Raw genomic sequence first — 12,991 nt, forward strand, 5'->3', positions numbered from 1 at the left:
ATAGAATTAGAGGTCTCATCTAGGCTCTGCCTTACTAAGCTTGTTGTTTTGGTATTGGGAAACTGAAGGGATCAACAGCTTTATGCGTTATTAAATATTTCCCCCATTGACCTCAGATAGATTCAGAAATGCCAATAAATAGAGCTTCACTATTGAAATAAGCATTATGTAGAAATTCTAAGGTAAAATATATTCCTGAGAAAGAGTCTTCAATAACACATAGAAATGTAAGGAAGCTCGTGACAAGTGGGTATTAATGAAGGATGAATACTGGAACTCATTTTTAGAATGAAGTGCTGGAAAGGAAGACTTGGTAGGCCAGAAGAAAACTCACACAAATTCAGAGAGTTATGTGTTCAAATATTATTTTATATACTTTTCCTTTTTAGTATCTGCAAAAAAAACTCTCGAAGACTATGCATCAAACTTTGAACAATAGGTACCCCAATTATGGAAAAATTATAATAGTTATTAATAAATTTTAACATGCAAATCCACATAATCTTAAGAAAAATATTATATATCAATAGCTGCTTATTATATTTTTTAAAATTCTTAATTGGTAAGAGCTAAGTGAAATTGGGAACGTTATATAAAGTAAGTAACAGTCAACATATTATTATTGGTGTTTAGAGCAGTGTTCATGAACGCTGACGAGAAAACAATGTCCACTGTTGACTTACTGAAAGGCAGATCATTTTCTCTGCCTGGAGATGTACTTGACCCCATAAGTCTTAAAAACTCTCTTCATTTGAAAAAAGAAATAGAAGCGAAGTTATTGTGTAATTCTAAGAATCTTCTGTTGCTGTAAAATTATGTGACTCTAATGTATAGAAAACATTAGAAATATCTAGGACAAAAGAAGCCCAGATGGCACATGGTCAAGACTATGTGACGATGAAACTACAATGAGGCAAAGAGGCCTTTTCTATTTTGTCATATGAGGTGTTGCATAGTTCTGCCTTTACTCGTTCTAGAATAATTATAAAATTTCTAAGCAAGAATTATCAGCATTTTCTAGTCTTAGAAAGTCTGTCCAACTCAAATACTTCTTTGGGTTTATATATATGTGTATATATTTATGAATATATATGTCTTTATGTTATATAGAGACATTTATATTCAGTGTGTCATATGTTATATATATTTATTATGGTATATATAATACAAAAATATTTAAATTTCATATACTCACATCCATTTCTTGTATTTCATTAAATATAACAAACAATGTTAAAACCCCATATCTTATACCCTATTCAATAAATGGTGCTGGGACAATTGAATTACCATATGCAGTATAATGAAACTGGACTTTACCTCTCACATATAAAAAAATTAACTCAAGATGGATTAAAATCTTAAATAAAAAACTTCAAACTATAAAAAAATCTTAGAAAAAAACCTTAGGAAATACTCTTCTGGACATTGGCCTAGGCAAGTAATTTATGACTAAGAATTCAAAAGCAAATGCAACAAAAACAAAAATGGACAATTGAGACTTAATCAAAGAGCTTCCACACAGCAAAAGAAACTGTCAACAGGGTAAACAACAAGATACAGAAGGGAGAAAATCTTTGCAAGCTATGCATCCAACAAAGAACTAATATCCAGAATTATCAGGAACTTAAAAAACAAATAACCCTGTTAAAAAATGGGCAAAGGACCTGAACAGACACTTCTCAAGAAAAGACATATGAGCAGCCAACAAATATACAAAAAAATGCCCAACATTGCTAATCATCAGAAAAATGCAGAACAAAACCAGAATGTGATACCATCTCACATGGCAGAATGGCTATTACACAAAAATAAAAAAACCAGAAGATGCTGGTGAGGCCGAGGAGCAAAGGGAGTGAGTGACTATACACTGTTAGTGGGAATGTAAATTAGTTTAGCCACTATGGAAAGTAGTTTGCAAATTTCTCAAAGAACTAAAAATAGAACTACCATTTGACCCAGCAATCCCATTACTGGGCATATACCCAGAGGAAATTTTATGCAGCACTGTTCACAATAGCAAAGACATGGAATCAACCTAGGTGTCTATCAACAATGGATTGCATTAAAGAAATGTGGCATGTATACTCCATGGAATACTATGCAGCCATAATAATAAACAAAATCGAGTTCTTTGAAATAACTTGGATGCAGCCGGAGGCGATTTTCCTAAGTGAATGGCCTATTCACTTAGGATAGAAACAGAAAATCAAATGCTTTCTATTTCTAACTTTCAAGTGGAAGCTAAACATTGTCTACACTCAGATATAAAGATGGAAACAATACACACTGGAGAATCTAAAAAGGGAGAGATAGAGGAGGAAGAGTTGAAAAATTATCTATTGGGTACTATGTTCACCATTTGGATGACTGATTCAGTAGAAGCCCAAACCACAGCATCACATTAATAAATCTATAAGTGTACTCCCTGAATATAAAATATATATATTGTCCAAATTGGTTTTCAATCTAAGTCTCTTAATATTATTTTCCTTTAGTATGCTGAATAAAACTCATATTCAGCATGGCCTTGTAGTAAAAAGAGAAAAGATAGAAAAGTTAAATATCATATTTTGCTCCAGTGTAAAGTAAAACATTCATTATAGATTTCGAATACATTTTCTTTTAATATATTCAAACATTTCAGATATTTTAATGTATTTGTGTACATTTTTAATATCCTTTTTCATTTTGGATAATTTTCACTGGATTATAATTTTCATGAGCAGACTTTGCTTTATTTACAGACACAAGTACTGTGATTTGCACATACTATGTGACCAATGGATTTATTGAACTGTATAGTACATACATAGAATTCTAAACACTCACAAATTTATAAATTTCCACACTCTGGGACAATGCATTTTCTCTTTGTAGCCCAAAAGTCACTAAGAGAATTGTTAAACTTCTAAGAAAATGTATGCCAGTGAACTTTGATTTCTTAGTGATCTAGAATTATTCAAAGTGCAGGAAAACAACAACAAAAGCAAAACCTCCATATGATGTGTGTGGTAGGCAGAAGAATGGTGCCTTCATGATGTTCACATTGTGAGCCAAAGTAACCAATATAAAAAGCCATGTGATATGGTTTGGGTGTATGTCCTCACCCAAATCTCATCTTGAATTATAATCCCCATGTGTCAGGGGAGGGGCCTGGTGGGAGGTGATTGGATTAGGGAGGCAGTTTTCCCCATGCTGTTTTTGTGACAGTGAGTCACTCCACACCTAAAGGATAAATGACCCTAGTACTTTTCTTTCTTTTCCTACGCATAAGTTAAAGTCTAACAGACTTAGCAATTATGCTTCTGTAATGTATAATCAGATGTACTCTCGCACCCAAACTTTGATGTAATTTTGCCAACACTAAACATCCACCTCCTGTATGTAAGCCGTGGGCTGAAAGACCGTGCTGCAGCAGTCTGCTAGAACCTCTTTCGGGGGCTGCTCCAGGGGCACAGGCCTCAGTCTATAGTCCTCAGTAAGACTTCTGGATAAAACTAACTTTAATTCTTTAAAAGCTTGATCTTTTTCTTTTGTCATCAACATTCCAATTCCCATAATTTATGAATATATAATGTTACATGGCAAAGGTGAATTAAGGTTGTAGGTGGAATTAAGTTTGCTAATTGGCATGTGAAAATTTTCCTGGATTATTAGGAAAGGCCTAATCTAATCAGGAGTCCTTAAAGTGAAAGAAGGGGCAAAAATGTAGATCAGAGAGACTGCAGTATAAGAAGAAGAGAGGTTGATCAATGAGTATGTCAAGCGCATTGATTATTTTTGAGTTTGCAAATGTTTTTCTCTGTGATTAGGCCACCTGTTTTTGCTAATTGGTGCTTACTGAAGTCAGGCTCCTACTTTCTCACAGAGACTGGGAGATATGAGTGCTATTTTTCTTATTGTTTACATTTCAAAGAGATAATTCCCAGGTCTTTGAGGAAGACACTTCTACACTGTAAAACTAGCAAGAGGCTTTTGAAAAGATTTGTATTTCAAAACAACAGAGAAATAATTTATAATCTTTGTACAGTAAATGCTGTAAGAAAAGAGGGGTCAGGTCCTAGAGTCAGGAAGAAACCTACCTAAAATTCAGTCAAGCTGAAGAAAATATTAATGCTGGCTTGGTCAGTTGTCAGTAGATTTTCCAAATTCTATGCATCAGATGTAGTTCACATGGTACTCACTGATTTATGACCACTGTCAGGGTGCAGGGTGTCCTACCCCAAAATGTGGTGCTTTAGCATGCAGAGTACTTTGAATTAAAAGAAATCAGAATGTCATAGAAGCTGCTTCAGAACCAAAAACATTCTACCCATCTTTTGCTTCTCTCCCTTCCCCCAGCAGAAGGGAGGGACTGTATCTGCAATCTCCTTATCTGCTAAAAAATCTTTCCAAAAGAAATGCAGTTATCTTAAAAGTCTTGCTAGGAGTCTTGAAAAATAAAGATTAACCACTAGAAAAAAGAAGAAACTAAAGAACCAGAAAGATATTTCACTTGTTCTTCTGAGGGCAGGTCTGAGAGATTACCTGGGAGACTATCTGCATAGTAAGACGACCTTTGTTCGTGGTGAAGTTCTGCCTCTCACTTTGCTGCCACCTCCCCTAGAGATCAGAGCAACTCTGTCCCAGGCCACTATTCCTTTTTTTTAAATTTCAATTTTTATATAAATTTTATATACAGGAGGTACATGTGCCGGTTTGTTACATAGGTATATTGTACACAGGTAGTGAGCATAGTACCCAAAATATAGGTAGTTTTTTAACCCATGTCCACATCCCTCATCCCTCCAGTAGTCTGCAGTATCTTTTATTCCCATGTTTATGTCCATGGGTGCTTAATGTCTAGCTCCCACTTGTAAGTGATAACATGTGGTATTTGATTTTCTGTTCCTTCATTAGTTCACTTAGGATTATGCAGGCCATTGTTCTTTGGTCTCATTCATGTCCCCTGAAAATCATTTGTGACTCCTAAAATTACCTACTTCCCCTTATTTACCTCCCACCCTGTGAAAAAAGTGTAAATATTTAAAGTTCAACCATCTCGCCCTTCTTTAAGTCTCATATTTTCAAGATTCCTGTGTTCATATGCATGTGAATAAATTTGTATACCTTTTCTTCTATTATTCTGTCTATTGGCCAGGTGCAATGGCTCATGCCTATAATCCCAGCACTTTGGGAGGCTGATGTAGGAGTATCACTTAAGCCTTTTTCCCTGTCCCTTTACTCCAGTCTTAATAAATAATCTACATAATCTGCTTAGAAAAGAGTAAAGCTGTTATTTCTTTGCTTCATAATTTCTACATTTCTCATCTTGTACAGAGAAAAGCCAAAGTGATTACAATCATCTGCAAGGTCCCACCTTTCGTGCATCCTTTCCTTTCTCTGGCATCCTTGCTTCCCATCTGTTCCTTACTCACTGTGTTCTACTCCAGTGAACTTGCTTCAATACAAATAATTCTGATTTGCTTTCACCTCAGTATGTCTGCATTTGTTATTCCCAGACTGGCATGATTTTACCCAGATACCCATGTGCTCACTTCCATCGTTCATGAATGTCCCGAATAAGAGGTTGCTTATTAGAAATAACTTTTTGGACCCCTTTGTATAAAATGTATAACATACTCCTAAACTTTCTGTCCCCTTTTGCTGACTTTATTTTTCTATCACATAATCACCGCCTAACATACAATATATTTTATGTATTCATTTTGTTAATTTGTCTGGTTCTTCCCACTTGAATTAAATTCCCAATTGAAATAATTTTTTATCAATTTTGTTCTCTGGTATTCATGACATTTGAAACAATGCCTTATAATTATAGGTTTTCATGAAATATTTGATAAAGGAATGCATCCTTCAAGGACTTGAGGCTATGCTTATGAATGACTCTCTCAAAAACCAAACATTCAGGGCTTGTGAACTTTGCCCAATGTGGATGTTTTATTTTTTTTTGCTACAACATCAGTTGGGATAACTTACTAGTTTAACTTGAAAGGTGATTAATCTGGATACTAACATAAAATCATTGAATGTCTTGAGAAACATGCCTTACCAACTTGACTAACCTTTCACTAACATTGTTATGCCCATTGCCTGACACTTCTCATACTGCTCTAATTGTCTTTCACTAAGAGACTGTTAATGTCAGACACTGGAGCCTATCTATCTCCATGTCTTATTAAATTTCCCCAAATCCTTCTATATCAAAGTGATGGCAAATTCATCAACATACTCATAGATAATGGAGCTTTGGAGTACAGTGATGACTTGAAGCAAGAGGAACACAGCAAAATGAAATATTTAATATGCATAATACAATACTTAGTGTAGTTAGGTGAATATGTCCACCATTGTTAGACATCCTTACCAGCAGGAAACCAGTAGATATAACACCTATTCAAGCTAACTAAAGCCAGTATTGCAGAAGCAGGTTTCAATTGCTCAAGAGACATCCCTTTTTCTTGTCCCATGGTACATTCAGGCCTTCATCCTCTGATGGCTTCTCCTGCTGTCTTCAACTCTGCTCCATTTTTGAATTATTCTAGTGTGGACAGTAGTACAGATAGTGGAGTAATAATTCTCTACTCATTTACTATATTTCAACTCTTGTCTACTTTTCTCCCGTATCCCTTTTTCTGATCACATTTGCACAGTCTGACCCAGGATAGAAACTCGTTTTTCGCCAGCACTGCTCCTATTTAATTTTTTTCATGTAAACCAGTATTTTTATAAAAGATGCATAGTAGAAGTGGAGATTTAATTGTCTATCATGAGACAGGTATAGGAATGCTAAGTTGTTGATCAAGGCAAGATAAAGGAGGTCAATAGAAGGGGAAGTTGATATACTCATATAAAAATAAACTGAAAAAACATATGAAAAAAGAAAACTCAAATTCTTAACTTTCTTCTTCTTAACAATATTAATATAGAAAACTTTGAAATCAGGAATGACCAACTGCCTCCTTATAACCAAGGCAAACAAAATTAATGCAGCCTCTTGGAATTTTTAATTTCAAAAGTATAAGATTCTACATGACTCTAACAAAAATAGTTTTCAAGTATTATGAGTGAATTTTACTGTGAAGTTACAGCTCAATTAATTTAGTTTTACAACAATGTGAACTAAATAAAACATTTGCACAAGAGTGAAATAAAATGAAAAAAAAATTCCTCCACTTAAGGGCATCAAAATGTTAGATCAAAGCCAGATCAAATTTTTAAGAAATCTTTAGAATAGTTGATTCTAAAGCAGTAGTCTTCAATTGTGTAAAAGCTAGATGCCTCCTCTAATTAAATCCTATATTAAGTACTAGTATAAAGAATAATACGAAGGCAGGACTCTTCTAAGACAAGTGTTTCTTCCAGTAAACACATACTCATCTGAAACATTGATATGAAAACCTGAAATTCTATGGCTTGATAGAACAACGTTTGAAAGCCAGTGGTTTAACGTCATTCATTCTTTCTTTCTTACTTGATAAAAGAAACAATTTTCTCTTAAAGTAACCATCAGACTGAAAGAATGTAAAATGGTCTTTAGGAATATGTGGGCAGGGAGTTGTACAAAGTCTATAGCGTTTTGGTCTTAGCTTTGAGTATGGTGAGTCATATACCTGCTACCAGCAGGCCTTCTCAGATGTCAGGTATCAACTAAGAGGGATCAGTTTTTTGCACGAATTCCAAAGTAACTAATCTGATGCATGCCTGATCCTTTTGCATACATTTTGTAAATTGTACTTTTGAACTTTGTTCTTATTTTTGGTCTTTTTTCCCTTTTTTTCCCCCCATGCTTCTGTTCCCTTAAAATTCAGGCATTTTAAGTCAAAATGTTTATCAGTGACCTGAAGCTAGATATGCCAGGAAAAACCAGGCACTCCAACAAGCTAACTCTATTACCATGGGCAGAAAATAGCATATGGGTGAAACATCCCCTGGGAGAAAGTATACAGCTGTCAAATTTCCTAGAAAAAGACCCATAGGGCTTTGTCTTGATCAAACCATTCCTAGACCTTGGCATAGGACTGAGAAAATAAAAAGGATGTGGAAAGTCATACACACAATCATAAACCTTCCAAATGAAAATGTGAGATAATTAGAAAATGATGATAGTAGTCTGTGGCTAATGATAATTTTAATTTCCCTCATAACAGTATGCTGACAAATAAATGTATAGGAGGAGATTCTTAAAAAATGTCAACATGAGAAACAATTATTGCAACATATGAAAATAATCCATATGAATTTTTAATTGAGCCATACTTAGTTTTGGAGAGAATAATTTGGCACATAGATTTAATTATAAATGGTTGATACAGACTCTTGAGGACAAAGAGACCATAATTTACAACCTTATATTCAAAACACACCAACTAGATTTGATAATGGGTCCGTCAATTAATATGTGATGTCTCACACTGGGAAGTTCTTTACAAGCCTCATAGCATTCAGAAAACAAAACCAAAAAACCGATGGAAATTGCATTCATAATAAACTACAACAAGAAATCTTGCTCATGGTCCTTTCAGTCAGAACAGCCCACTTTTTTGATAATTACAAACAGACATCTCAGGGGAGTTGTATATATGGGAGAATAAAGATGACATGCTATGATCAGTGTTCCTTTAAAATTGAATAATTCTTTCCATCCTACACCTTGATATGTTAAATTATATACATGCAAACATTTACAGAAACGTGCACACTTATAAATTAATTTGACTTGACAGAAGTTAAATTTCACTGATATCTCTATGAATATTTAATTGAGAGGTTAATAAATCAGCCAATCAGAATAAATTTGAGGTCATTCTAGAAACATGTTGGAAATATTTTCTTTCTTTGTATCAGTATTATTTTTCATATGGATGGGGTTTCATTATGTTGCCAGGCTGGTCGTGAACTTCTGTGCTCAAGCAATCCTCCTGTTTCTACCTCCCAAAGTGCTAGACTTACAGGCATGAGCGACTGCACCTGGCCTTGAAAATCTTTTCAAGAAATGTAGATACCCCAACAAAAATTTCTAGACATTGACATATGCTAATGGGCGGTTCTCCAGGAGCATATGGAATCAGTTGGCTCAGTTCATAATCGTGTTCCTACAATAGTAAAATTTCCAGAAGAACTGGTACAGACATCTTTTTTATTTTTTAAATGACAACTTTCAAATGACATTAATTCAAATATAGTACAAACCGTGGGTTGTTACTCAAATACCTTATCTCTGTAACCTAATTTTAATACTGATGTTCATTTAAAACATAAATTTGCTTTCTTCCTAATAGCTCATGGTGAGACAGGGGTGGAGGTTTGTATATATAATTTACATGGGCAAAGATTTATAGCATGCTGTTAAGTTTTTTATGAGAATCTTTGAAATTGTAAGAATTACCAACATTTTTTCATGTCAAATGTGACTGTCAAAATAACAACTTCAGAACTTATCTCCTCCCGGATCCTCCTAGCCTAGATCCTAGATGCATGCTTGGTCATGTAACCAGTGCTGCAGGGATTTATGTGAGAGGAGCTCAATATCCCAGAAGGTACTAGCTAATTTTGACTGGTTTTACATTTTTAATATTTTTTCTTTTTTTGAACCACACTTTTATTCCATTTGTTTTTTGTAGCTATAAAGAATAAGTCTAAACCCCTTTCTCATAGTAGCTCTTCAGATATTTGGAAATGCTTTTGTATCTACCAAATTCTCTTGCTATTACTCTATGACATATAGCATCACCCTCTGCCTTTCTTTAGTATTTTAATGTTTTCTTTAATTCTGGGATATAGAATTAAAGATTCATGCTGTTGCAGGTATGGTAAAATCTATTCATAATATAGTTCAAATAAGATTGTTTTTGGTACTTGTGATGGTTAACATTGAGTGTCAACTTGATTGGATTGAAGGATGCAAATTATTGTCTCTGGGTGTGTCTGTAAGGGTGTTGCCAAAGGAGATTATCATTTGAGTCAGTGGACTGGGAAAGGCAGACCCACTCCCAATCTGGGTGGGCACCATCTAATCAGCTGCCAGTGTGGCCAGAATAGAAGAACGCAGAATAACGTGGAAAGACTAGACTGGCTTAGTCTTCTGGCCTCCACCTTTCTCCTGTTCTGAAAGCTTCCTGCCCTCAAACATCGGATTCCAAGTTCTTCAGCTTTGGGACCTTCAACCACAGACTGAACGCTGCAGGGTCAGCTTCCCTACTTTTGAGGTTTTGGAACTCAGACTGGCTTCCTTGCTCCTCAGCTTGTAGTCGGCCTGTTGTGGGACCTCATCTTGTGACTCAATACTCCTTAAGAAACTCCACTTGATACATACATCTATCCTATTAGTTTTGTCCCTCTAGAGATCCCTGACTAATACAGCACTTCTCTGGACATACAATGAATTCTAGTTTTCTTAAACCCTAGGTAAGTTTAAGGATTATTACTATGAAAATAACTTTTCCTATCTTGTGTTAGGACAGTTGATTTTTCCATTGCATGTACTCTTCTCACCTATAATTTTATTGCTTTCTGCCCTTTGTACCATTCTCTTATTCATTAACATGCATTTATTGATTGTCCTCACTGAATCAGTAAAATATAAGCCAGCACCACAGTGGTGAGCAAGAAAAACACAGTTCTTGCTCTTGTAGCAATACATTCCTGTGTAGGGTGAGTATGGAATTTAACAGTGGTATCATTTAACATAGTGCCTTATTAAATCCAAAGTTAATTCAAATTCTACTGACATAAAGGAACGCAGAATGGTTGTGAGGACCTCTGATAGGGGAAGTTCAGGAAGTTCTTAAAGTTTCAGAAGTGATGCTTGAATATGTCATGAAGGATGGTTACACATTACCTAGGTGTGGGTGGGAGAAAAAGGATTCCAGCAAAATAAATTCCAGGCAGTGGCCCTAAGGCCATTAGGTGCAGAGTGATTTTGAGTAATCAAAAAAAAAAAAAAATCTATTGTGACTTGTGCTCAGAAAGCTGATGAAAATGTCATGTGTCACGTCATGTTGAGCTTTGTGGCCATAGTTAAGGGGGCAAAGAAAAAGCAATTGTAAGAACTGTGGAAGCCAGTAAATGAATTGTAGCACGGGAGGGAAAAGATTAGATTTGTATGTTGCACATGCACACAGACTACAGACACCACCTCCCTTGTTTAAAAAATCTCTTCATTGGTACAGTTTGCAGATCCTTCATTGAAAATAGATCTTTCTTTATCTTTCTCCCCCACGTCTGTTCTATCAAAATTTTACCAGCTTTAAGTCAACATGAAAAGTGTTTAACAGAATAGGGTTAAGAAAAGACTTCCAGGCTTGCCAAAAACTTTCTTTTCTCTAATAAAACTGGCCTAAAATTAAAGATGAAAGAAAAATATCCAGCTGCATTTCCCCCCTTGTAGGCATGCTTTGCCAAAATTGCATTAAAACATTTACTTAAAGCTTTCCTTGGTCATTTGCAGTTCTATCTTTTTGTTATGTATATAAAAAAATCCCTAAACTGTTGGATGGCAAAAGAAAGCCTTCAGTCTGGTGGATGGGCTGGAGTGCGTCCATTATCTAAGCAGGCTTAGACTCCTTGTGAAGATTTCCACATTATTTCCATAACTACTTATTTTTCTGTGCTGAAAAATTATTTTATAAGTCTGTTTAGTGTTGCAATGAATCTGTGAGCATAAACAGTATATTTAGTATTTATATATAGTGCTGCAATGTATTTGTGAGCCTAAATTGATGCTCAAGGTTTTTCAATTTCCTCTACTTTTGTCATTTAAAGAGTTCAGAGCAACTCAGTTTAGAACTAAATAGTTATCCATGTTTTTATCAAAGCTAATGAAAACCTTCTGCCACATTTATTGTTTTGTCTTTCCGATTTATTATTAAACATTTTAGGGTTATGGATGTTGGCTGTCCTTATTCTATCTATGAGAACCCCAGAATCTGAAATCAGAAATGAAATGTGGGTGAATGAGAAAGCAGGTATATATGTGTGTGTGCATGAGTGCGTGTGTGTGACTGAATCTAAATATATTAAATGAGTTCTGTGAGATAGATGATATAGAGAAAAGAGGAAGGGGGAGAGGAGTAATATGGAGGTGCACATTATGATAGCTCTATAATAAATCATTGCATATATGGTTTAATAATTGATGTCCATGATGATAATCTGAGATCGATAAGAAGACATATAATTATATTTTGTACACTGTTTATGATACCAAAAAAGTAATAGATTTTTGAATAAAGTCTTTCAAAATTAGCATAGGTAATTTTTTCTTAAACTCTTAACCATGTAGAAATACACCTTTGGCTCTTCAGAATGATTAATATTTGAAAATTTATTGTTTACTGAAGGTTATATCTTATATGTAATTCAACATATATTTAAAAAAATAAAAACAGTATATATACAATATTATAAATCATAAGTTTCCACTAAAATAAAATCATGCACCAAGTTTTAAGGGTACTAATGCGTAAAATTTTAAATATAGTGGCTGATAAAAATGGAGCCTGATTTTTACAATTTCTGCTTTTTAAAATTAATGTAATGATGCAAATTGCACTGGATAACCATTAGCATGCCATTCTGTATTTGTCCAGCTCCCTACTTTTAATTTGATGTTACACAGTGCTGTCAATTCAAAAACCATTTAACCATGTCTAGATTGTGTTTAATGTAGGAGTCAATAATAGTGTCTCTGTGAGACTCTTCATGGGTAGAATATTTAAACTGTGTACATATTTTGTGACATATAGTGTGAGTGCTGAGAGGTATCTTGCTCTACTTTTTTTTTCTTAAATGTTCTGTTTAATGAGAGTGATGCAGTAGGGTGAGTTGCTGTATAGTTTATTTTTAAATAGGTGAAGTGAGATTGCAGTATCTTTAAAGAATCAGCAAGAAAAAATGTTAAATTTTAAGCTAACCACAATTCTACAGAACCTATTCACCTGTTGCTTCACTGAGAAACTTTAATTAATTAATTTTTAAATATTCTATA

At 34.6% G+C, this 12,991-nt stretch overlaps 2 long non-coding RNA genes across 2 annotated transcripts in view; one reads left to right on the forward strand and one right to left on the reverse strand.

Moving 5' to 3' along the window:
• Positions 1-12,991, forward strand: part of DSEL-AS1 (DSEL antisense RNA 1) — a 383,074-nt gene that overhangs the window by 94,123 nt on the left and 275,960 nt on the right. The window lies entirely within an intron of this gene.
• The window catches only part of LOC105372174 (uncharacterized), a 36,647-nt gene that overhangs the window by 23,423 nt on the left and 233 nt on the right, over positions 1-12,991 (reverse strand). The window lies entirely within an intron of this gene.

Source organism: Homo sapiens, chromosome 18, assembly GCF_000001405.40.
Source record: "Homo sapiens chromosome 18, GRCh38.p14 Primary Assembly".
Taxonomy (NCBI): domain Eukaryota; kingdom Metazoa; phylum Chordata; class Mammalia; order Primates; family Hominidae; genus Homo; species Homo sapiens.